The sequence below is a fragment of the Homo sapiens genome, chromosome Y (genome assembly GCF_000001405.40).
Source record: "Homo sapiens chromosome Y, GRCh38.p14 Primary Assembly".
Lineage (NCBI taxonomy): Eukaryota > Metazoa > Chordata > Mammalia > Primates > Hominidae > Homo > Homo sapiens.
The window spans coordinates 970409-997556 of record NC_000024.10 but is presented as its reverse complement, the minus strand read 5'-3'; the positions used below and the strand labels follow the sequence as shown (position 1 = coordinate 997556).

The 27148-nt window shown below is 45.9% G+C and overlaps 1 annotated feature.

Annotated features, from left to right (window-relative positions):
• Window positions 16030-16529: an enhancer, noted in NCBI's record as "H3K4me1 hESC enhancer chrX:941763-942262 (GRCh37/hg19 assembly coordinates)". NCBI's record gives its function as "activates a minimal SCP1, AML or CMV promoter by ChIP-STARR-seq in naive H9 embryonic stem cells {active_cell/tissue: H9 hESC(naive)}" and the evidence as "EXISTENCE:reporter gene assay evidence [ECO:0000049][PMID:30033119]".

Sequence of the window (27148 nt, the reverse complement as noted above, 5' to 3'; positions counted from 1 at the left end):
GTCTCTCTGCCCAGGCTCTGCTGACATTTGGGGATGGAGGATTCTCCGCGGTGGGGCTGTCCTGGGCACTGTATGGTGTTGAGCAGAGACCCTGGGCTTCACCCACCAGGTGCCAGGACCACCCCCTCCCCAGTTGTGACAACCAAAATTGCCACCAGATATTGCAAAATATCTCCTGGGGGTAAAAGCTCTCTGGTTGCCATAGATAGGTAAGTACACAAGTAGATACACAGGGGGAGGGGGCAGGAGATGGGTGGATAGATGACTGATAGATACACGATAAACAGAAAGATGAGATAGATAAATAGATGGTAGATGATGGATAGATAAATATATACATACATACATAGATGGATGGAAGGATAGATACACAAATACATGGATAGATGGATGGATGGATGGATTGATGGATAGATAGATAGATACATACATACATACATAGATGAATAGATGGATGGATGGATAGATACATACATACATGAGTTGATGGATGGATGGATGGATAGACAGACACATACATACATACATAGATGGATAGATACATACATACACACATACATACATGGATAGATGGATGGATGGATAGATAGACAGACAGATACATACATACATACATAGATGGATAGATGGATGGATACATACATACATGGATAGATGGATGGATGGATGGATACATACATACATACATACATAGATGCATAAATGGATGGATGGATGGATAGATACATACATCCATGAATAGATGGATGGATGGATGGATGGATAGACAGACACATACATACATTCATACATAGATGGACAGATGGATGGATAGATAGATGCATACATACATACATAGACGGATAGATGGATGGACGGATGGATGGATGGATGGATGGATAGATATATATATACGTACATGAATAGATGGATGGATGGATGGACAGACGCATACATACATACTTAGATGGATAGATGGATGGATGGATAGATAGATACATACATACATACACACATGGATAGATGGATGGATGGATGGATGGATGGATAAATCGACAGATAGATAGATAGATAGATACATACATACATACATACATACATACATAGATGAATGGATGGATGGATGGATGGATACATACATACATACATGAATAGCTGGATGGATGGGTGGATAGATACATACATACATACATACATACATGAATAGATGGATGGATGGACAGACAGATAGATAGATAGATAGATAGATAGATAGATAGATACATACATACATACATAAACGGATAGATGGAAGGATGAATAGATGGATGGATGGATAGATAGATAGATTGATAGGAAGAAAAATAAATCTTAGGACTCCCAAATCACTAAGCCAAAGGAAAAAGTCAATATGGAAACGGCATCAGGCAAACCTGCCTCCTATTTTATTCGTAAATAAGATCGCTACAGAGATACAAAGATCACATATGTCCCTCACAATCTGTCCACAAGGAAATTCCTACCTATCACCTATAAGCCCCCTCCTCACTTTGAGCTGTCTCACCTTTCCGGACCAAACCAATGCACAACTTACAGTATCACACATTGATTGATGTCTCATGTCTCTCTAAAATGTATAAAACCAAGCTGTGACCCAACCACCTTGAACACCTGTCGTCAGGACCTCCTGAGGCCGTCTCATGGGTGTGTCTTTAACGTTGGCAAAATAAACCTGCTAAATTGATTGACACCTGTCTCAGATATTTTGGGTTCATGATAGATAGATAGATAGATAGATACATACATACATACATACATACATACATAGATACATAGATGGATGATACATGACATGACTCGAGAGATGATAGATGATATAGGTGGATATATAGATGATAGATTAGTGATAGTGGATAGATAGATAATAGATACGTAGATAGACACATAGATGGATAGATAGATATACATAGATGAATGGATAGATAGATGATAGGTTGGTATATAGATAGATAGATGAAATGGATAGACCGATTATACATAAATAGACAAATAAATAAGATGAATGGGTAGATAAAGAGATGTGATGGATGGATAGATGATAGATAGATAGATAGATAGATAGATAGATAGATAGATAGATAGGGCCAGGCACGGTGGCTCACGCCTGTAATCCCAGCACTTTGGGAGGCCGAGGCGGGCGGATCACGAGGTCAGGAGATCGAGACCACGGTGAAACCCCATCTCTACTAAAAATACAAAAAATTAGCCGGGCATGGTGGCGGGCGCCTGTAGTCCCAGCTACTCGGGAGGCTGAGGCAGGAGAATGGCGTGAACCTGGGAGGCGGAGCTTGCAGTGAGCCGAGATTGCGCCATTGCACTCCAGCCTGGGCGACAGAGTGACACTCTGTCTCAAAAAAAAAAAAAAAAAGATAGATAGATAGATACATAGATAGATAGATAAAGATGGATGGGTAGTTGATAGATGATGAGATGGGTAGATAAACAGATGGTAGATGACAGATTGACAGGTGATAGTACATAGATGGACACACGATAGATTGATAATAGATAAGGTAGATAGATGATGGATATATAGATAGCTTGATTGATAGATGATAGTTAATAGGTAAGTAGATAGATGATACATGGATAGGAAGACAGATGAGATGGATGACTAGATAGATAGATACATAGATGGATAGATGGCAGGATGAATGGATGGATGGATGGATAGATGAGATGGATGAATAGATAGGTAGGTAGATAGATGAGACGAATGGATAGATGATTGAAAGACAGATAGATGTTAGACAGATAGATAGATGATAGGCAGGTAGGTAGGTAGGCATTTAAAGTTAAATTGCATTCCAGAACCTCTCTCAGTAGACCTAGAGAATGCCAAAACCCAATCCCATGTTGTCAGATAGTTTACAGTATGAATATTCAAAGAGTTTGAGACCCAGGATGGCCGTGAAGCTTTCAGAGAATCTCCAAATTTGCAGACGATAACGCTGTTGAAATACAGAAGAGAAGCCGTCCATGTTGAATGTAGTAACTCCAACTCTCCCTTTAGAAGAATCCCAGAGTTTCTTGCGTCTCAACGCTTTTTTGTAATGTTATTTCATTACACAGAATACAGAAACCATAAAAAGTGCACGTAAACATTCAATTAGACTTGATGTGTCTCTGTTGAAATCCATCAGATAAGCTTAAACCATGATTAAGATCCTTTCTTTTCTTTTTTTTTTTTGGACATGTTTCCTGCTAAACAGTCTTTCTGCACTTATTAGCGTTTTGTTGACGGTGTGTCCCGTGCACAGTTAATTTCATTTGTCTCCATGCCGTTTCAATCTTCCCTTGATAACGAAGATAGATTTATAAACCCCACTTACCATTGTGTTTTCCTTTTGCCGAAAGCGATGTGAACAAATCAGAAACACAACGGAGTTTTGGGAAATAAGAGAAAGAGACAGAAAAGAAGGAAAGGAACAGAAATACAGCCGATGTCCCACGGACGACGTGTTGACTAGAGTTCTCTCGGAGAGCTGTGCCTGGGTTCACACTGGGTGTGCCTGTTTGCTGCGCACGTGTGTGATGAGATGTGTGGACAAGGACTGAGAAATACAAAAGACATGGGTTAAAATCAGACTCATGGAGGCCGGGCGCGGCGGCTCACGCCTGTAATCCCACCACTTTGAGAGGTTGAGGTGGGAGCATCACTTACCCCAGAAGTTCGAGACCAGACTGGGCAACATAGCAAGACTCTGTGTATATAACTCTGTTCTCAGGCTGCTAATAAAGACATACCTGAGACTGGGTTATTGATTGATTGATTGATTGATTGAGATGGAGTTTTGCTCTTGTCACCCAGGCTGGAGTGCAATGGTGCCATCTCGGCTCACTGCAACCTCCGCCTCCCGGGTTCAAGCGATTCTCCTGCCTCAGCCTCCCGAGTAGCTGGGATTACAGGCACGTGCCAGCACGCCCTGCTAGTTTTGTATTTTTAGTACAGACAGGGTTTCTCCACGTTGGGCAGGCTGGTCTTGAACTCCCGACCTCAGGTGATCCTCCTGCCTCGGCCTCTCAAAGTGCTGGGATGACAGGCATGAGTCACCGCGCCCAGCCCGAGACTGGGTAAAAGATAAAGGAAAGAGGTTTAACGGACTCACAGTTCCACATGGCTGAGGAGACCTCGCAATCATGGCGGAAGGCAAAGGAGGAGCAAAGTCATGTCTTCCATGGTGGCAAGCAAGAGAAAAGGGGAAAGTCCCCTTTATAAAACCATCTGATCTCATGAGACGTCTTCACTATTGTGTGAACAGCAAGGGAAAGACCTGCCCTGTGATTCAGTTACCTCCCACTGGGTAAGTCCCATGACACGTGGGAATTTTGGGAGCTGCAATTTGAGATTTGGGTGGGGACACAGCAAAACCATATCACTGCGTCTACAAAAATATTTCCTTCCTTCCTTCCTTTTCCTTCCTCTTTCCTTCCTTCTCTTTCTTTCTCTTTCTTTCTTTCCTTCCCTCTTTCCCTTTCTTTCATTCCTTTCTTCCTTTCTATCCCCTTTCCCTTTCTTTCATTCCTTTCTTCCTTTCTTTCCCCTCTCCCTTCTCTTCCTTACCCTTCCCTTTCTTCCCTTTTTTCTTTCCTTTGTTTCTCTTCCTTTTATTTTTCCTTCCTTCCTTCCTTTCTTTTTCTTTCTTTCCTTCTTTCTCTTTCTTTTCTTTTTGTCTTTCCCTTCCTTCCTTTCTTTTCTTTCCTCACTCTGTCACCCAGGCTGGAGTGCAGTGGCACAATCTCAGCTCACTGCAACCTCTGCCTCCTGGATTCAAGTGTTTCTCCTGCCTCAGCTTCCCAAGTAGCTGGGATTACAGGCCCAGCTAATTTTTGTATTTTTAGTAGTGACAGGGTTTCACCATATTGGCCAGGCTGGTTTCAAACTCTTGACCTCAGATGATGCACCCGCTTCAGCCTCCCAAAGTGCTGTGATTACAGGCGTGGGCCACCATGCCCGGCCTTACATTTTTATGTTTTATACAACCAATTGCCAACTAAAGAATCCCTAAAGCCTACCTGTGACTCGTAGGAACCCACTTTGAGATGTTTCATCTTTAAGGCCGAAACAAGGTATACCTTCCATGTAATGATTTATGATTTTACCTACAATTCCTGTCTCCCTGAAATATATACAATAGAACTGTAGGTCGGGCGCGGTGGCTCACACCTGTAATACCAGTATGTTGGGATGCCGAGGTGGGAGAATCAACTGAGGTCAGGAGTTTGAGACCAGCCTGGCCAATATGGTGAAACCTCGTCTGTACTAAATACAAAAAATTAGCCAGGTGTGGTGGCAGGGGCCTGTAATCCCAGCTACTCGGGAGGCTGAGGCAGGGAAATTGCTTGAACCCTGGAGGCAGACGTTGCAGTGAGCCGAGATCACGCCATTGTACTCCAGCCTGGATGACAGAGTGAGACTCCATCTCGATTTAAAAAAAATAAAAATAAATAAATAAATAAAAATGGAACTGTAACCAGACCTCCTGAACACACTTTCTCAGATCTCTTGAGACCATGTAATCCTGGAGCACAGGCGCTCAGCACTCATATTGGTTCAGAATAAACCTCTTTAAATCTCTTGGCAGAATTTGTTCTATTCTGTCATCAGTAGCAAATGCTGACGATTACATACACTCACTTTTTCTAGCTAAGACCCCTGGTGTTGGAAACAGCTACGTCGTGCGGGGTGTATACCCTGGAGTTCCTTGTCTCACTCTGAGAAATAATTGAGGACAGGGAAGAAAGGAGAGAGGAGAGCAGCTCCTTGTGAGACAGACAGAGAGATAGAGAGACAGAGACAAAGAGAGGCAGTCAGACAGAGAGAGACAGACACACACACACAAGTCCAAACAGGAGAAAAGAGAAGAGAGCAGCTCCTTGCGAGAGAGAGAGAGAGAGAGAGAGAAAGACAGACAGACAGACAGAGACAGAGAGACAGACACACACAAACACACAGATACAAAGAGACACACACAGAGAGAAACAGACACACACAGAGACAGAGAGAGAGAGAGACACACACACACAGAGGTCTGAACAGAAGAAAGGAGAGAGGACAGCAGCTCCTTGCGAGAGAGAGAGAGAGAGAGAGGCAGACACACACACACACACAGACACACACAAGCAGAGAGGTCCAAACAGAAGAGAGGAGAGCAGCTCCTTGCGATAGAGAAAGAGACAGAGACAGAGGGACAGAGAGAGACAGAGGGACAGAGAGAGACAGAGAGACAGACAGACAGACACACACACACAGACAAGTCTGAAGAGAAAAAAAGAGAGGAGAGCAGCTCCTTGAGAGAGAGACAGAGACAGAGACAGAGAGAGAGACAGACAGAGAGGAAGAGACAGACAGACAGATATAGAGAGAGACAGAGGGACAGAGAGAGACAGTGAGACAGACAGACAGACAGACACAGGCACACACACTCGTCCAAACAGAAGAAAGGAGAGAGGAGAGCAGCTCGTTGTGAGAGACAGAGAGACAGAGACAGAGGGACAGAGAGAGAGACAGAGAGAGAGAGATGGACAGAGAGAGAGGGAGAGAGAGACAGACTGAGAGACACAGAGACAGAGAGAGAGAGAGACAGAGGGACAGAGACAGACAGAAACACAGACACACACGCAGGTCCTAACAGAAGAAAGGAGGAGAGCAGCTCCTTGCGAGAGAGAGAGAGAGAGAGAGAGAGAAAGAGACAGAGGGACAGAGACAGAAAGACAGACACACACACGTCTCAACAGAAGAAAGGAGGAGAGCAGCTCCTTGCGAGAGAGAGAGAGAGAGAGAGAGAGAGAGAGAGAAAGAGACAGAGGGACAGAGACAGAAAGACAGACACACACACGTCTCAACAGAAGAAAGGAGGAGAGCAGCTCCTTGCGAGAGAGAGAGAGAGAAAGAGACAGAAAGACAGACACACACACGTCTCAACAGAAGAAAGGAGGAGAGCAGCTCCTTGTGAGAGAGAGAGAGAGAGAGAGAGAGAGAGAGAGAAAGGGGGAGGGGGAGAGGGAGTGGGGGAGAGTGAGGGAGAGGGAGGGAAGGGGAGGGAAGGGGAGGGAGGGAAGGAGAGAGAGAGAGAGAGAAAGAGAGCCAAAAAGGTGGGAGGCACCTGACCTCTGCAGACTTTATAGGCAGGCTGGTGAAGGCGGTGTTTCATTTACGTAGGGCTCAAAGATTGGTTCCATCCGGCATGACATCCATAGAGTGCGTGGGGAAGGCTGGTCGCCCCACCCTAATCTTAAGCAAATGGGATTTCCAGTTGATCGGCGCCATCTTGTCTGCTTTTCTTACTGTACATGCGGTTGACAAAGAGGAGGGAAGATGGAGCCGCCATCTTGAACGTGTCTAGTCTCTAGTTCCTGCCGGGAAGATGGAGCCGCCATCTTGAAGGTGTCTAGTCCGTAGTTCCTGCCGGGAAGATGGAGCCGCCATCTTGAACGTGTCTAGTCCCTAGTTCCTGCCGGGAAGATGAAGACGCCATCTTGAAGGTGTCTAGTCCGTAGTTCCTGCCGGGAAGATGGAGCCGCCATCTTGAACGTGTCTAGTCCCTACGTTTTGCCGGCATTCACCCGTGCAAGCTCCCAGCTGGCTTGTCTATGTCTGCAGCTCGATGCAGCTCAATTTTACAGACTGCTCTTTGTTAGAAAATGATTTGGGGCTGGTTTTCATTAAAGAGAAAAGCCTTACTAAGGACTTCCATAGCCTTACCATCTGCCTAAGTGATTTCTTCTTAACTCCTATATAAATGTCTTTATTTCAATTCTCACGATGCCAAAAAAAAAAAAAAAAAAATTGAGGCTCGGTCCTTGCTGTAAAATGCATGCAAAATAATTTGCACTCTGTCAACTTCAAGTTCAGTATAATTTATACATCCTCAACAATGGTTAGACTTGGAAACTGGGCATTTCAAATCAATCAAATGGTTGATGATACCTAGATATACAAGCTGAGTCCTACTTAGTGGATTTAGCCACAGTGAATTCATTAATTTACTCACTATCTTTGTCTACCATTTCAGTAAACCTGTTTTCTGAGCTATATCTCCTACATATTGTATTATACTATATTATATTATCTGTATTATTTTAACAAAATATGTATACTAGCCTGGTATGGTGGCTCATGCCTATAATCCCAGCACTTTGAGAGGCCAAGGCAGGAGGATCACTTGAGACCAGGAATTTGAGACCAGCCTGGGCAACATAGTGAGACTTTATCTCTACAAAAGAAAAAGAGATATATGTATACTATCTTTAAATGTAGCTTATATCTGCTAATACGCAAATACAGAAATATACAACAAAGGAAGATAAACAAGATGTGAATCCTAATATAAAGTGTTTTTTTAAAAAAGTCTATAGTTGATTAAAGACTGTATTTACTGGAATTTTATAAATCCCCCCCAGTGTGTTATAAATTAATAATTTGCTATATTTATTTGTGTGCTGTCTGTGTAATTCAATTATTAATGAATACATTTGTTACATATAAATAATAAAATCTCCATCTCTGACCGCAGCCAACGCTTCATGTTAATATACTGAGAACAGCACATTAATAATGAAATAAAGGTAGAGTAAATAATGGTATTGCAGCTGCCAAGCATTTGTTGTTATTCAAACGCTTCAAAGTAATGTCTGAAAATGCAAGTTTTGAGCTCAAACTTTGGCCTGGAAGTATATTGCAAGCCCACCCTTATATGAATTAAAAGGGAGGTGCAGGGCTGGGCGCGGTGGCTCATGCTGGTAATCCCAGCACTCTGGGAGGCCAAGGTGGGCAGATATCGGTGGTCAGGAGTTCAAGACAGGCCTGGCCAACATGGTGAAACCCTGTCTGTACTAAAAATACAAAAATTAACCGGGTGTGGTGGTGTGTGCCTGTAATCCCAGCTACTCAGGAGGCTGAGGTGGGAGGATCAGTTAAACCTGGGAGTTGGAGGTTGCAGTGAGCTGAGATCGTGCCACTGCACTCCAGCCTGAGCAACAGATTGAGACACTGTCTCAAAAAAATTTATATATACATATATATATAGTAATTAAGAAAACTAATCCTTTATCACAAATCCTTATAGACGAGCACATCTCCCCATGATCTCTCTCTCTCTCTTTTTTTTTTTTTTTGAGACAGAGTCTTGCTCTGTCGCCCACGTTGGAGTGCAATGGTGTGATCTCAGCTCACTGCAACCTCCGCCTCCTGGGTTCAAGCGATTCTCCTGCCTCAGCCTCCTAAATAGCTGGGATTACAGGCATGCACCACCGTGCCTGGCTAATTTGTGTATTTTTAGTAGAGACGGGGTTTCTCCATGTTGGTCAAGCTGGTCTCGAACTCCCCACCTCAGGTGATCCACCTGCCTCGGCCTCCCAAAGTGCTGGGATGACAGGCGTGAGCCACGACGCCCGGCTTGCCCATGATCTTTTTTTAAATCATATATATAAATGAATATTGTACCTAGGGAGGACGCGTTCCTCCTCTTACTTTTGGGAACCCCTTATTCTGTCTGTGCTGAGGAGGATTAGTAAAAGAGGAAGTCCTCTTTGCAGTTGAGGTAAGAGGAAGGCATCTGTCTCCTGCTCATCCCTGGGCAATAGAATGTCTCGGTGTAAAGCCCGATTGTACATTCCATCTACTGAGATAGGGGAAAACCGCCTTAGGGCTGGAGGTGGGACATGCTGGCAACAATACTGCTCTTTAAGGCACTGAGATGTTTATGTATATGTGCATCAAAAGCACAGCACTTTTTTCTTTACCTTGTTTATGATGCAGAGATATTTGTTCACAAGTTTTCCTGCTGACCTTCTCTCCACTATTATCCTATTATCCTGCCACATCCCCCTCTCCAAGAAACGCCAGATAATGATCAATAAATACTAAGGGAACTCAGAGGCCGGTGCCGGCGCCGGTCCTCCGTATGCTGAACGCTGGTTCCTCTGGGCCCATTTTTCTTTCTCTATACTTTGTCTCTGTGTCTTTTTCTTTTCCAAGTCTCTCGTTCCACAGCAACCCATCCCTTCAGTACTTTCAGCACTTTGCTTTCTTAATAATCTTTTTTTTTTTTTTGAGATGGAGTCTCGCTTTTTCGCCCAGGCTGGAGTGCAGTGGCGCCATCTTGGCTCACTGCAACCTCCGCCTCCCGGGTTCATACCATTCTCCTGCCTCAGCCTCCCGAGTAGCTGGGACTACAGGCACCCACCACCATGCCCGGCTAATTTTTTGTATTTTTAGTAGACACGGGGTTTCACTGTGTTAGCCAGGATGGTCTCGATCTCCTGACCTCGTGATCCGCCCGCCTCGGCCTCCCAAAGTGCTGGGATGACAGGCGTGAGCCACCGCGCCCAGCCTGTTTTTGTTTTTTAATGTTTTAGTTTTTGGTGTACAAATCTACTTTCACGATTAATTTCTAAGTGTTTTATTCTTTTTGGTGTTATTGTTAATGTAATTGTTTTCTTATTCTCTTATTTATGTACTTATTTTGAGGTAGGGTCTCACTCTGTTGCCCAGGCTGGAGTGCATTGGCACAATCATGGCTCACAGCAGCCTTGAACTCCTGGGTTCTAGTGATCCTCCCACCTCAGCTTCTCAAGTAGCTGGGACTACAGGCGTGTACCACCATGCCCAGCTAATTTTTTGTATTTTTAGTAGAGACGGGGTTTCACCGTGTTAGCCAGGATGGTCTCGATCTCCTGACCTCGTGATCCGCCCGCCTCAGCCTCCCAAAGTGCTGGGATGACAGGCGTGAGCCACCACGCCCGGCCTTCTTAATAATCTTAAATGCTGTGGAAACTGGGCCTGTCGGATCAATCAGATGGTTGTTGATACCTAGATGTAGAAGCTGAGTCCTCCTTAGCTGGATTTAGCCACAGTGAATTCATCAGTTCCCTCACTATCTTTGGCTACCTTTTCAGCAAACCTGTTTGCTATGGGGTAGCTGTATTTTTGCCACTTTACTTTTGTGATTAACTTACTTTTGCTTTGCACTGTGGACCCGCCCTGAATTCTTTCTCGCACCGGATCCAGGAACCCTCTCTTGGGATCCGGATTGAGACCACTGTCCGGTAACAGGTCCATCTTTCCTTGTACGAGAAGTCTCCTTGTTGGGGGAGCTTCTGCCTTCCTAAGGCAGCGGTGGGTATGGGACTTGCTGTATACATGAAGGTCTTTGGTCTCTACTGCTAGAGGTAGTGGTGTGTCTTCCCTAGGTAGATTTGCAGAGGATAGAGAATAGAACACTTTCTCAAGAGCAAAAACTCAAACGTACCCTTTCAAAGCATCCACATCCCCTTTCTGTGGGAGGAGAATGTTGACACAATACAAGCCACTCACTCGAGACCTAAGCCCCATGCAGTCGCTAGACCAGTCTCCAATCACAGCCCTGTCTTAGAATTAGATTTCCTCACGCCTGTAATCCCAGCACTTTGGGAGGCCGAGGCGGGCGGTTCACGAGGTCAGGAGTTCAATACCAGCCTCGCCAATATTGTGAAACCCCATCTCTACTAAAAATACAAAAATTAGCCAGGCGTGGCGGCACACTCCTGTAGTCCCAGCTACTCGGGAGGCTGAGGTACGAGAATCGCTTGAACCTGGGAGATGGAGGTTGCAGTGAGCCGAGATCGCACCACTGCACTCCAGCCTGGGTGACAGAGTGAGACTCTGTCTCAAAAAAAAAAAAAAAAACAGAAATTAGATTTCCTCACTGGGCACGGTGGCTCATGCTTGCAATCCCAGCACTTTGGGAAGCCAAGGCGGGTGGATCACGAGGTCAAGAGATCAAGACCATCCTGGCTAACACGGTGAAACCCCGTCTCTATTAAAAATACAAAAAATTAGCTGGGCCTGGTGGCGGGCGCCTGTAGTCCCAGCTACTCAGGAGGCAGAGACAGGAGAATGGCGTGAACCTGGGAGGCGGAGCTTGCAGTGAGCCGAGATCGCACCACTGCACTCCAGCCTGGGTGACAGAGTGAGACTCCATCTCAAAACAAAGAAACAATAAAAACGAAAATAGCTAGCTGGGAATGATTGTCACACCTGTGGTCTTGGCTACTTGGGAGGCTCAGGTGGGAGGATGGCTTGAGCTCAGGACTTCAAGACCAGCCTGGGCAACATTGCAAATCTACGGTTCTACAAAAATGACAAAAATTAGCTGGGTGTAGCAGTGCACACCTATAGTCCCAGGTGCTTGGGAGGCTGAGGTGGAAGGTGGAAGGTCAGCTGAGAGAAAGCATGAGGAGACCTAAAATTCCACCATAGTTAGAGTAGGCAGCCTGGCTTACAGAGTATAGCAGGGTTTCATAGGGCCAGAACCAGGTCATGGTGGGGGAGCTGAGCTAGGGGTGCAGGTGTCTTGTCCACATCCTGGAGATGTCTTTTGCCAGCTTTTTTTTTTTTTTTTTTTTTTTTTGTTTTTGGAGACAGAGTCCCGCTCTGTCGCCCAGGCAGGAGTGCAGTGGCGCGATCTTGGCTCACTGCAAGCTGCACCTCCCAGGTTCACGCCATTCTCCTGCCTCAGCCTCCTGAGTAGCTGGGACTACAGGCGCCTGCCACCGCACCTGGCTAATTTTTTGTATTTTTAGTAGAGACGGGGTTTCACCATGTTAGCCAGGATGGTCTTGATCTCCTGACCTCGTGATCCTCCCGCCTCGGCCTCCCAAAGTGCTGGGATTACAGGCGTGAGCCACCGCACCCGGACTAGTTTTTGTATTCTTTGTAAATACAGAGTCTTCCTATGTTGCCAAGGCTGGTCTCGAACTCCTGGATTCAAGAAATCCTCCCACTTCAGCCTCTCAAAATGTTGGGTTTATAGGCATACGCCTCTGTCTCTGGCTTATTTTCTCTAATGAAAAATGCAGTGTTTCTATTGAAACAAGAAATTCATTTCATGCACCAGTTAATGGGAAAAGCATTGCCAGAATCAACTTCTTAGTTAAACTCCACTTCTGTGAACTTTTGGCCAAGGTTCCTGAATGTTTTGGCCATGGTTCCTGAACTTCTTGTTCACAGCTATTGGCTGTGCAGTTGAGTGGTTGCAGTCTCTTTTTCTGGGGTTTGGAGGGTAGAAATGATGGAGGATTTAGTTCTTGGTCACTTTGCAAGCCGGGGACCTCCAGCTGGTGATGCTCCACCAGAGCTAGGCTTAGGCACACCTGTAATCCCAGCTACTTGGGAGGCTGAGGCAGGACAATTGCTTGAACCCAGAAGGCAGAGGTCACAGTGAGCTGAGATTTCACTGTGTTAACCAGGACGGTCTCGATCTCCTGACCTCGTGATCCGCCTGCCTTGGTCGCTCTTGTCGCCCAGGTTGTATTGCAACGGTGAAATCTTGGTTCCCGAGTTGTTGTCCAGCGTCCAAGAAGAATGAGGACATGCTGAGAACTGAAGAGTGAGCAAACCAGGGAGTTTTATTACGTGATGAGACAGCTTTCCTCAGAGAAGGGAAGTGGGGAGGGGCGGGCCATAGGTAGTATTGGAAACGGGAACATTTGATTGATTAAAAGGCATTATTCAGGCTGGGTGTGGTGGCTGACTGACGCCTGTCATTCCAATACTTTGGCAGGCTGAGGCGGGTGGATCGCCTGAGGTCAGATTGGTTAAAAAGCATTATTCAGGCCGGGTGTGGTGGCTGACGCCTGTCATTCCAACACTTTGGGAGGCTGAGGCCGGTGGTCAGATTGATTAAAAAGCATTATTCAGGCTGGGTGTGGTGGCTGACACCTGTCATTCCAACACTTTGGGAGGCTGAGGTGGGTGGATCTCCTGAAGTCAGGAGTTACAGACCAGCCTGACCAACATGGAGAAACCCCATCTCTATTTAAAAATACCAAAATTACCAAGGCGTGGTGGCCAGCAACTGTAATCCCAGCTACTCAGGAGGCTGAGGGAGGACACTTGCTTGAACCCGGGAGGCAGAGGTTGCAGTGAGCTGAGATCTCTCCACTGCACTCCAGTCTGGGCGACACAGCGAGACTCTGTCTCAGAAATAAATAAATAATTAATTTAATTTAATTTAATTAAAAAATTATTCAGAAAGAATCAATTGGGAAAGGGCAGGCAAATAGGAACAGATGTTGTCACTCTGGGTGGCGAGTTTCATTCTGGACCAGCAGGCTGGTCTTTCGGTTCTCAGCCTGTTTTTGACTCGAAGGTGGGGTTTCACCAGGCACCTGCCCCTTCCTGCCTAGGCATCTGGCTGCCTCCTATCAGGACAAGGGGAAGAGAATGCTGTCCACAGAGGGTAAACGAGGAAAACTCCACCTGCAGTGAAATAACAAGGCGGGCTGTGTGGTTACGACACCCGACATCTGGAGGCTTCAGGATCTGGCCCCGAGCGCTGGAATTCCGTAGGATCCTCAAATCTGTTAAAACCCATGTCTACGTATTAGGGAAAAATAAATAAGCTCACACAAGTCCCTCCAGGTTAATTGCAAACGTATCAGAAACGCATGGGTGAATATCGGGGCAAAACGCTCATTAATTTGAGAAAGAAGTAAGTTCTTCTCAAAGAGCATCCCAGGAAGTGGGCAGTGGAAAATTGGTTTTAAGATGTTGCCTTAGGCCAGGTGAGGTGGCTCACGCCTGTCATCCCAGCACTTTGGGAGGCCAAGGTGAGTGGATCATGTGAGGTCAGGAGTTCCAGACCAGCCTGGCCAACATGGTGACACCTCGTCTCTACTAAAAATACAAAAATTAGCCAGGTGTGGTGGCAGGCACCTGTACTCGGTCACCCAGCTACTCGGGAGGCTGAGGCAGAAGAATCGCTTGAACCCGGGAGGTGGAGGTTGCAGTGAGCCAAGACTGCACCACTGCACTGCAGCCTGGGAGACAGGGCGAGACTCCATCTCAAAAGAAAAAAATAAAAGAGATGTTGCTTTGACCGCAGACACGGCCACGCTGGTCTTTCCAATGACACACACGGCTGTTGGGATGCTGCTGATTGCTCCACACATACGTCCCATCAGACACACTCAACCAGATTTCGTTGGTGAGGTCACTTGAGGTCCAGCAGGGCCATCCCAGGCTGCAACTCAAACCCAGGAGACTTCATCGGAGGCTCCTCCGAGGACGACATGCGTCAATCAATCAGCAACGTGTAATGCCTAACCTTGTTTTTTTTACTAACCCTACTTTTAGACGTTCCCTTTTTGTCTCTTTAATGACCTAGCCTTGTTTCCCATGAGAATAGACTCTCTCTCAGCTGGGAAAGCCGGACGCACTCCATTTGGCCCCTTGATTTACAAGACACTAAGTGCTCCTTACCCAACCCCCTTCCTCAAGGAGTTAACCTGTGTAAGCAGACCGTCAGCATTTCAAAGGAGCTCCATTAACTGAGAAGATACTGGAACAAACAATGTATGAAGTTCCCAGGATTTTGCTCAAAAAGGATGACAACAGAAAGCCCCTCGGCCTCCCAAAGTGCTGGGATGACAGGCGTGAGTCACTGCACCTGGCCAGCGATTGGAGTTTTTAAGGATGATTTGGTGGGTGGGGGCTCAGGAAGCAGAGAGTGCTGGTTGGTCAGGTTGAGGGTGAAATCACAGGGGTTTGAAGTGAGTCCGTGCTGTCTTCTGTTCCTGTGTGGGATGGCTGATATCTGGTTGAGCCACGTTACCGGTCTGTGTGGTGTCATCGGCTGCATTGGAATCCGGGATCTGCAAAATATCTCAAACACCGATCTTGGGTTCTGCAACAATGATGTTATCCCCAGGAGCTATATGTGGGAGGTTCAGACTCTTGGAACCAGAGGCTGCATGGTCCTTCAGGCGTAATTCCTAATCTTGTAGCTAATTTATTAGTCCTGCCAAGGCAGGCTGGTCCCCAAGCAAGAAGGTTCCTGCCGTCCCTGCCCTCCCGGAAAAGGGCTATTGTCAGTTTTGTTTCAGAGTTTAAACTATAAACTAAATTCCTTCTGAGGCTACTATGCCCAGGAATGAATAAAGACAGTTTCGAGGTTAGAAAGAAGATGGGGCGGGGGGAGGTGGGTGGTTAGGTCTCTTTCGCTGTCGTAATTTCTTCAGTTATAATTTTTGCAAAGGCGCTTTCAGGAGGACAGGGAGGAATGAGGGCATCATGAGAGAGCCAATTCCTCCTCCATCCCAGCCCCAGGGCTGAGAATGTGGACACAGCCCCTCCTCCTCCTCCTCCATCCCAGCCCCAGAGGGCAGAGTGTGGACACCACCCCTCTTCCTCCTCCATCCCAGCCCCAGTGGGGAGAGTGTGGACACGGTCCCTCCTCCTCCTCCTCCATCCTAGCCCCAGGGGTGAGGGTGTGGACACCAGTCCTCTTCCTCCATCATCCCAGCCACAGGGGGGAGAGTGTGGACACAGCCCCTCCTCCTCCTCCATCATCCCAGCCCCAGGGGGGAGAGTGTGGACACAGCCCCTCCTCCTCCTCCATCATCCCAGCCCCAGGGCTGAGAATGTGGCACGGCCCCTCCTCCTCGTCCTCCTCCATCCTAGCCCCAGGGGTGAGGGTGTGGACACCAGTCCTCTTCCTCCATCATCCCAGCCCCAGGGGGGAGAGTGTGGACACGGCCCCTCCTCCTCCTCCATCATCCCAGCCCCAAGAGAGAGAGTGTGGACACCACCCCTCCTCCTCCATCCCAGCCCCAGGGCTGAGAATGTGGCACGGCCCCTCCTCCTCCTCCTCCATCCCAGCCCCAGGGGTGAGGGTGTGGACACCACCCCTCTTCCTCCATCATCCCAGCCTCAGGGAGGAGAGTGTGGACACGGCCCCTCCTCCTCCTCCATCATCCCAGCCCCAGGAGAGAGAGTGTGGACACCGCCCCTCCTCCTCCTCCATGGACACCGCCCCTCCTCCTCCTCCATGGCAGCCCCAGTGGTTGAGGGTGTGGACACCACCCCTCCTCTTCCTCCTCCATCATCCCAACCCCAGGGTGGAGAGTGTGGACACCTCCCTCCTCCTCCTCCATGGCAGCCCCAGTGGGTGAGGGTGTGGACACCACCTCCTCCATCTCAATCCCAGAGAGTTCAGGTGTAGACACGACTCTTCCTCCATCCCAGCCCCAGGGGGAAGGCATAGCCCTTCTTGCATCCCAAAACCAGCTGCTGAGCAGTTTGGTGACGTCCCCATTGTACCTGGGTCTACAGCATGAAATCTCTACGTCTTTATGGAACCCAGAATTAACCCCCCAACAGCTGTTTAATCTTCAACTGTCCCATATCTGGGGATGCATCTCCTGGTTTGAAATCTCTGCTGTCAAGGTGCCTTTTTCTTTCCAGAATCCCTATTGCACTGTTTCTTTCACTCTGACCTCTGTGTTTCTTGGTGGAGCTGGAATCCTCCGGGCTCCCCTCCCAGGGAGCCTGGCTTGGCCTCCCTCCTCCTCCCCCTTGCAGCCCGTGCCAAAGACCCCTCAGTGTGCGGTGGCCTCTTGTTTTTTATTATTTTAATTGGTGCTTGAGCCCTGCAGGTTTACGACCCCCGTGTTTACACTAACTGTACTTTAATAAGTCGCCTAAGAGGTAACAGGAGCATAGGGCTCTATAAATGTTTTAATTCACACAAACCCACCCAGCTATTTCCATCCACACCCAGTGTGGTCGGGACGTGAAAATCGACAGGGCCAAGGTGCTGGATCAGGCCCCCGACTCCCCCGGCCGCCTCTTCCCTCTTCTTTAAACGTTTCCAGCAGCCTCTCACTTTTATGTTTGCGCTTGTCTAAACGGTGCTCTGAGGCCGTTCACACACCCCCGGAGCCCCATAAACCACCGCTTAGGACAATCTCCTTTTACCACCTGCCCTAGGAGACCGGCAAACCCCACATATACAAACCCCACTGTTTCCAGAGCTCTCTTAGGTTACGAAAGACGCATTTGGGAGGCTCAGGAAGACAGCCAGACACCCAAGAATCTGGGCCTGAAGCATTTCTTCTTGCAATGTGTTTGGGTTTCCTCTGTCTGTCCTCATATTTCTTATCCTAAGACAGATTTCTTATCCTAAGAAATTAGGCTCGGATTTCTTATCCTAAGAAATTATCCAACCTAAGAAGTCAGGCGTGCCAACTGAGGGGACCTGGAATGTATCTATCTATCTATCTATCTATCTATCTATCTATCTATCTATCTATCTATGTATCTATCATCTATCTGTCTATTATGTATTTATTTTGAGACGGAGTTTCGCTCTTGTTGCCCAGGCTGGAGTGCAATGGCACAATCTCGGCTCACCGCAACCTCCACCTCCCGCGTTCCAGCGATTCTCCTGCCTCAGCCTCCTGAGTAGCTGCGATTACAAGCCCGCGCCACCATGCCCGGCTAATTTTTGTATTTTCAGTGGAGATAGGGTTTCACCATGTTGGTCAGGCTGGTCTCGAACTCCTGACCTCAGGCTGGAGTGCAGTGGCGCGATCTCGACTCGCTGCAACCTCTGTCTCCCGGGTTGAATCGATTCTCCTGCCTCAGCCTCCTGAGTAGCTGGGATGACAGGTGCCCACCACCATGCCTGGGTAATTTTTGTATTTTTAGTAGAGTCAGGGTTTCACTATGTTGGCCAGGCTGGTCTCGAACTCCTGACCTCAGGCCATCCACCCTACTTGGCCTCCCATAGTGCTGGGATTACAGGCGTGAGCCACTGCGCCCAGCCTCGTTGAATGCATTTATAGGATGCCAGGGATTTGGGGGCCTAGGCATGGCACATTGTTTTGCAAAATGCCAAGAACCCAGCTTGGGAGAAGATGGTGCCTTGGCATGGAGGGTAAGGAGACGTGTGCAGCCGGGGACGTCCTAAATGTTCGCTGGCACTTTCAACAACCACATTAAACATGGGCTTGGACAGAACGTTGAAAATTGACTCTTTTAGAGATTTCGAAATGTGAAATGTATATAAGCCTATGTCAAAACGTCACATTGTACCCCATAACATATACATTATAGATCCTAATTTCAATTCATTACATGTATATGTATATAATAGGGTATATATGTGTGTGTGTATACATAATAGAGTATAATAATATATATTTATTTTATTATACATTTAATACATATAAATACATATAAATATGTATATGTAAATACATACTTATATAGTATATATTATATGATATATGATATATTACATGCTGTATTATTTTATTATTAATTATAATATATAACATGTATAATTATCATATAATATATAATTATATTGTAATATATTATATTTTATATATAATAATATATTATATTTTATAATGTTATATAATATAATAAAATATACTATATAATAATATATTATTATATTTTATAATGTTATATAATATATGATATAAAACATAATATATAATAATATATTATTATATATTATGTTATATAATATATTATAATAAAACAATATATAATAATATATTATTATATATTATGTTATATAATATATTATAATAAAACATAATATATAATAATATAATATATAACATGTATAATTACTATATAATATATAATATAGTATGTAGTATATAGTATATGTATAATTATAGAATATATAATTAATAAATATATATTATGTTATATATTATATATAAGATATATGATTGCTATGTAATATAGTTAAATATATTATATATCTTTAAATATGTATATTTATAGATATAATATAACATACATCAATATATAATGGGGCACAATGATATATATTTATTTTATTTTAATATAATAAATCAATACATATAACAAACATGCATTTATATGTAAATATATTTAAAATATATGTATTGATTATATTATACATATATTATGCGGTACAATAGTATATATATTTCATTTTACATATAAATAGATATATAAATATATGTATTATATTATATATAATTTAAATTTATATATTTTATATATTCTATGTGTCATATATTATGGGGTACAATGATTGCATATTAAATACATGCAATTATTATTGGTCAATGAAAAATAAAATATGAAAAAAGAAAGAGAAAAAGACAGATGAAACCTGTGGTCAGCTCTTGTGGGAGCGCGGAAAGCAAGTCCAGAGCTCAGAAGTGTCTCTTCTTTTCTGTGGTTTCACGATGCGGCACCGCTATGAGGAATATGTGAGGAATATCTCTTGGCTCGGAGGATGAAGACAGGCAGCTGCTGGCATGAAGACAGCAAAGGCCTTTGGTTCCCATCTGCAGAAGAATATACGTGTCTCACATGAATGCATTGTTCTTCTTGGCCAAAGTCAATCCACAGAAAACATGGTATGAGTTCTCCTCTCTGCTTCTATGAGTTTGACTATTTTAGATTTCTCATTTAAGGGAGATCATGAAGTATTTGTGTTTCTGTGCCTGGCTTATCTCACGAAACATAATGTCCTCCAGGTTCACCTGTGTTGTTGCAAATGGCAAGATTTTCTTCTTTTTCAAGGCTGAGTAATATTCCAATGCATGTATATTATTGATGTCCCAATTTCTTTATCCATGCATCCATTCATGGTCGCTTGGTTTGGTTGCATGTCTTGGCTATTGTGGATAATTCTCCCAATATCTTTATCCATTCCTCCATTCATGGTCTCTCAGTTTCCATTCATCCATTCATGGTCTCTTGGTTTGGTCCATGTCTTGGCTATTGTGGATAATTCTTCCAATTTCTTTATCCAGTCATCCATTTTTGGTCGCTTGGTTTGTCCGTGTCTTGGCTATTGTGGATAATACTTGGTTTGGTCCGTGTCTTGGGTATTGCGGATAATCCTCCCAGTTTCTTTAACCATTCATCCATTCATGGTCACTTGGTTTGGTCCATGTCTTGGCTATTATGGATAATTCTCCCAATTTCTTTATCCATTCATCCATTCGTGACCGCTTGGTTTGGTCCCTGTCTTGGCTATTGTGGATAATTCTCCCAATTTCGTTATCCATTCATCCATTCGTGGTTGCTTGGTTTGGTCCGTGTCTTGGCTATTGTGGATAATTCATCAGTGAGTATGGGAATCCAGGTATTTCTTCAAGATTCTCATGTCAATTCTTTTGGGGCAAAAATAAAGCTGTTTGATATGGTTTGGCTGTGTCCCCCGACCCCAAAACCTCATCATGAATTGTGGTTCCCATACTCCTTATGTGTCATGAGAGGGACCCAGTGGGAGGTAATTTAATCATGGGGACAGTTACCCTCATGCTGTTCTCGTGATACTGAGTGAGTTCTCACAAGATCTGATTAATTTTTTTTTTCTATTTAGGTGGAGTCTCACTCTGTCACCAGGCTGGAGTGCAGTGGCACGATCTTGGCTCACTGCAACCTCCACCTCCTGGGTTCAACCGATTCTCCTGCCTCAGCCTCCCAAGTAGCTGGGACTACAAGTGTGCACCACCACACTCGGCTAGTTTTTGTATTTTTAGTAGAGACTGGGTTTCACCATGTTGCCCAGGAAGGTCTCAAACTCTAGACCTTGTAATGAGCCTGCCTCGGCCTCCTAAAGTGCTGGGATTACAGCAGTGAGCCACCGAGCCCGGCCCAGACATGGTTCCTTCTTACTCATTTCCACTTGATTACAGTAGGATGAAGACACATGGAGCGGTTGGGGCAAATGATGGCTCCCTTCTCTCTCTGCCTCCTCTTAAACCTGCACACACCTGCTATCCAGGATTATCATTTATTTACTTGGTCTCAACCTACTGGGATGAAGTCCCAGAAGAATTGAGCAGAGAAATGGACACCGTTTCAGGACCAGCGTTTCTGTAGCCTTCTCAGTTCTGGGAAGAAGATGGTAACAAAACTTTTTTTTTTTTTTTTTTTGAGACAGACTTTCGCTCTTGTTGCCCAGGCAGAAGTCCTTATAAGAAGAGGAGATGATGACACAGACACACACAGAGGGAGGACCACGTGAGGACTCAGGGAGAAGATACGGTCTGCAAGCACAGGAGAGGGTCCTCAGGAGGAACCAGCCCTGCCCACACCTTCATCTCAGACTTCCAGCCTGCAGGACTGTGGGAGAATCAATGTCTGTTGTTTCTAAGCCACCCAGTCTAATGGTGATCTGTGATGGCAGTCTGAAATGGACTAAGGCATCCCATAAGAAGAGGAAATGAGGACACAGACACACACAGAGGGATGACCGTGTGAGGACGCAAGGAGACTATGGTGTCGGCAAGCCCAGGAGAGAGGCCCCAGGAAGAACCAGCCCTGCCCACACCTTAATCTCAGACTTCCAGCCTCCAGGACTGTGGGAGAATCAATGTTTGTTGTTTCTAAGCCACCCAGTCTATGGTGTTCTGTGATAGCAGCCTGAAATGGACTAAGACATCCCATAAGAAGATGAGATGAGGACACAGACACAGACAGAGGGATGACCCTGTGAGCACACAGGGAGAAGATGGCATCTACAGGGCAAAGAGAGAGGCCTTAGGAGAAACCAACCCTTCCTACACCTTGATCTCAGACTTCCAGCCGCCAGGACTGTGGGAGAATCAATGTCTGTTATTTTGAAGCCACCCAGTCTATGGTGTTCTGAGATGGCAGCCTGAAATCGACTAAGACACCTCATAAGAAGAGGGGATGGGCTGGGCACAGTGGTTCACATGTGTAATCTCAGCACTTTGAGAGGCTGAGGCAGGTGGATCACAAGGTCAGGAGTTCAAGACCAGCCTTGCCAACATAGTGAAACTCCTTCTCTACTAAAAATACAAACAAACAAACAAACAAAATTATCTGGGTTTGGTGGCACGATCTCAGCTCACTGCAAACTCTGCCTCCTGGGTTCAAGTGATTCTCCTGCCTCAGCCTCCTGAGTAGCTGGGATTACAGGCACCCACCATCAAACCCAGCTAATTTTTGTATTTTTAGTAGAGATGGGGTTTCTCCATGTTGGCCAGGCTGGTCTCGAACTCCCGACCTCAGGTGATCCACCTGCCTCAACCTCCCAAAGTGCTGGGATTATAGGCGTGAGCCACCGTGCCTGGCCTGGCAACAAAACATTTTAACACTGGCCACCGTGGCTCATGCCTGTAATTCCAGCTCTTCAGGAGTCCAAGACCTGCAGATGGCTTGAGCTCAAGAGTTGGAGACCAGCCCGGGGAAGATGGTGAAAACCTGTCTCTACAAAAAACCTAAAAACTACTCAGATGTGGTTGTCTATGCTTATAGTTTCAGCTACTTGGGAGGCTGAGGAGGGAGGATCACCTGAGCCTGGGAGGTTGAGGCTTCAGTGAGTCATGATTGCACTATTGCGCTGCAGCCTAGACAACAGAGCAAGACTCCGTTTAAAAAAAAATTTTTTTTGGCCGGCCACGGTGGCTCAAGCCTGTCATCCCAGCACTTTGGGAAGTGGAGGCAGGTGGATCACTTAAGGTCAGGAGTTCGAGACCAGCCTGGCCAACATGGTGAAACCCCGTTTCTACTAAAAATACAAAAATGAGCTGGGTGTGGTGGCGGGCGCTTGTAATCCCAGCTCCTTGGGAGGCTGAGGCAGGAGAATCGCTGGAACCCAGGAGCTGGAGGTTGCAGTGAGCCGAGATCTCACCATTGCACTCCAGCCTGGGCGACAAAGCAAGACTCTGTTTAAAAAAAAAAAAAAAAAGAAAGCTTTTGCATATATTTTATAATCAGGCAGCTACCTAGCTAGGTCGCCTCTTACTCCCTGATGTTTAAATATTCTGATGACCTGTGGGGACAACGGACAGAAGTTGGAAAAACCCCAACTTGAAATAATTCATGTGTTTTTCTGTCTTTTTTTTTTTCAATGCTGGACCGTACGTATTACCATTTGTGTTCTGATTAGCAACCGCCCCGCTAATGGACTTAGCATCCGTGGTTCATAAGCAAATCCTCCCTTCTTACTGCAGAGCTAAACACATAGGAAATTAACAAAATCTGTGACCCCCACAACTAGCAATTCATAAATTCATTAGATTAAAAAAAAAAAAAAACAGGCAAGCCACGCAGCCATCCAGCCATCCTGTTAATAGGTTTTTCTTCTAATGTCTAATTTACATTTCTGCCTGGCCTGGTAAAGATATTACTTCGTTACATCTTTTTTTTTTTATTTTTTTCCTAAATTAGAGAAATTTTAATGACTTCTCTTATTCATTCTTTCCATATGTAAGTAGTTATGTTTCTTACAAATGGAAACGAGACCTTAAAATTACCACAAATGGGGCCAAGCCTCACAGTCCATGTGTTCCTATTTGGAGACGGCCAAGCTGCCTCCTCGAATTACGGTTAACCCTCCTGTCCATTGAACAGACGGTCCTAATAGGTGGGCTTTGAAAGTCGCTCTCGTTAAATTTATTTGGGACCGCCGAGAACACGCCAGTCCAGCTTCAGCAAATGAGCTCTGATAATATTAACCACCTGGTAAGCCCTGGCCCCCGGGGAACCCTGCGTGGCTGCGTCTGACCCCTGGCCCCTTGGCCTTCTGATCCTGGGGCTCAATTCAGACAAGAAGGCGATTCTGAGAAAAAACACCTGTTGGCGTCGCTGACCCCGGAGTCAGGGTTTGGAGGGAAGGGCCTCCGAGTCTTCAGCACAGGTGTTTCCTCCAGCAGGCCCGGGGAGTTTGGGAAGCCACCGGGATGAGGAGGGAGCTGGGCAGCACCGTGTCAGGCAGGGGACGGCACCTTCCACGTCCCGGAACTCTGGGGCACTCCATGGCGGGACAAGACGTGGAAAGGAGGGATTATTCCAGGCTCTACAGAATATCTCATGGACACAGCTTCATGGCTTGCTTCTGCTAGGCAAAAAAGTGAGAGAAAACCCAAGAATAAAACATAGCAGGCTGCAGGTGGACACAAGATTAAGACCAACCTTCCTTCCAAAGATGCCTTACATTAAGACCAACCTTCCTTCCAAAGATGCCTTAGGATAAGACCAACCTTCCTTCCAAAAATGCCTTAGATTAAGGCCAACCTTCCTTCCAAAAATGCCTTATGTTAAGACCAACCTTCCTTCCAAAAATGCCTTAGGTTAAGACCAACTTTCCTTCCAAAGATGCCTTACATTAAGACCAACCTTCCTTCCAAAGATGCCTTAGGATAATACCAATCTTCCTTCCAAAAATGCCTTAGGTTAAGACCAACTTTCCTTCCAAAGATGCCTTAGATTAAGACCAAACTTCCTTCCAAAAATGCCTGAGCAACGACCCTCAGCTACTCAAGGGCAGTGAACAACGAATAGGTCTATCCCAGATTGCAAGGAGAAACCCCAGAAAGTTGATGTGCATATTCATTGCAGAGTGCAGGTAGGTTCCCCAAATAGGGGACACTGGGAATCTATCTCTATTGTAGTGTGGGTGGGTGCCAAGATGGTGGTCACTGGGTATCTCTATTGTACAGTGTAGGTGGATCCCCTGATGGAGGACGCTGAGTGTGTCTATTGTAGATTGTGGATCTACAATAGAGTGTAGGTGGATTCCCAGATGGGTGTGTCTATTGTAGAGTGTAGGTGGATCCCCAGATGGGTGTGTCTATTGTAGAGTGTAGGTGGAGCCCCAGATGGAGGACGCTGAGTGTTTCTATTGTAGAGTGTAGGTGGATCCCCAGATGGAGGACATTGAATGTGTCTAGTGTAGAGTGTAGGTGGATCCCCAGATGGGTGTTTCTATTGTAGAGTATAGCTGGATCCCAAGATGGAGGACATTGAGTGTATCTAGTGTAGAGTGTAGCTGGATCCCCAGATGGAGGACATTCAGTGTGTGTACTGTAAAGGGTAAGTGGATCCCCAGATGGAGGACATTGAGTGTGTCTATTGCAAAGTGTGGGTGGATCCCCAGATGGAGCAAATTGAGTTGGTTTATTGTAGAGTGTAGGTGGATCCCCAGATGGAGGACGCTGAGTGTTTCTATTGTAGAGTGTAGGAGGATCCCCAGATGGAGCACATTGAGTGTGTCTATTGTAGAGTGTAGGAGGATCCCCAGATGGAGGACATTGAGTGTGTCTATTGTAGAGTGTAGGAGGATCCCCAGATGGAGGACATTGAGTGTGTCTATTGTAGAGTGTAGGAGGATCCCCAGATGGAGGACATTGAGTGTGTCTATTGTAGAGTGTAGGAGGATCCCCAGATGGAGGACATTGAGTGTATCTGTTGTAGAGTGTAGGAGGATCCCCAGATGGACGACATTGAGTGTGTCTATTGTAGAGTGTAGATGGATCCCCCCAATGGAGGACATTGAGTGTGTCTAGTGTAGAGTGTAGGAGGATCCCCAGATGGAGGACATTGAGTGTGTCTATTGTAGAGTGTAGGAGGATCCCCAGATGGAGGACATTGAGTGTGTCTAGTGTAGAGTGTAGATGGATCCCCAGATGGAGCAAATTGAGTTGGTTTATTGTAGAGTGTAGGTGGATCCCCAGATGGAGGACGCTGAGTGTTTCTATTGTAGAGTGTAGGAGGATCCCCAGATGGAGCACATTGAGTGTGTCTAGTGTAGAGTGTAGGAGGATCCCCAGATGGAGGACATTGAGTGTATCTATTGTAGAGTGTAGGAGGATCCCCAGATGGAGGACATTGAGTGTGTCTAGTGTAGAGTGTAGGGGGATCCCCAGATGGAGGACATTGAGTGTGTCTATTGTAGAGTGTAGGAGGATCCCCAGATGGAGGACATTGAGTGTGTCTATTGTAGAGTGTAGGGGGATCCCCAGATGGAGGACATTGAGTGTGTCTAGTGTAGAGTGTAGATGGATCCCCCCAATGGAGGACATTGAGTGTGTCTAGTGTAGAGTGTAGGTGCATCCCCAGATGGAGGACATTCAGTGTATCTACTGTAGAGTGTTGGTGTATCCCCCAGACGGAGGACACTGGGTGTGTCTATTGTAGAGTGCAGGAGGATCCCCAGATGGAGGACATTGAGTGTGTCTATTGTAGAGTGTAGGAGGATCCCCAGATGGAGGACATTGAGTGTGTCTAGTGTAGAGTGTAGATGGATCCCCCCAATGGAGGACATTGAGTGTGTCTATTGCAGAGTGTAGGTGCATCACCAGATGGAGGACATTCAGTGTATCTACTGTAGAGTGTTGGTGTATCCCCCAGACGGAGGACACTGGGTGTGTCTAGTGTAGAGTGTAGGTGGATCCCCAGATGCAGGACACTCATTATTTCTATTTTACAGTGTAGGTTAGATGTGTCCTGTTGTGCTCACTGGATATTTCTTTGTAGAGTGTAGCTTGCTTCCCCAGGCGGTGAACCTGGGCATTTTCTCAGGTAAAGGTTATGTTACAATGTCGGCGT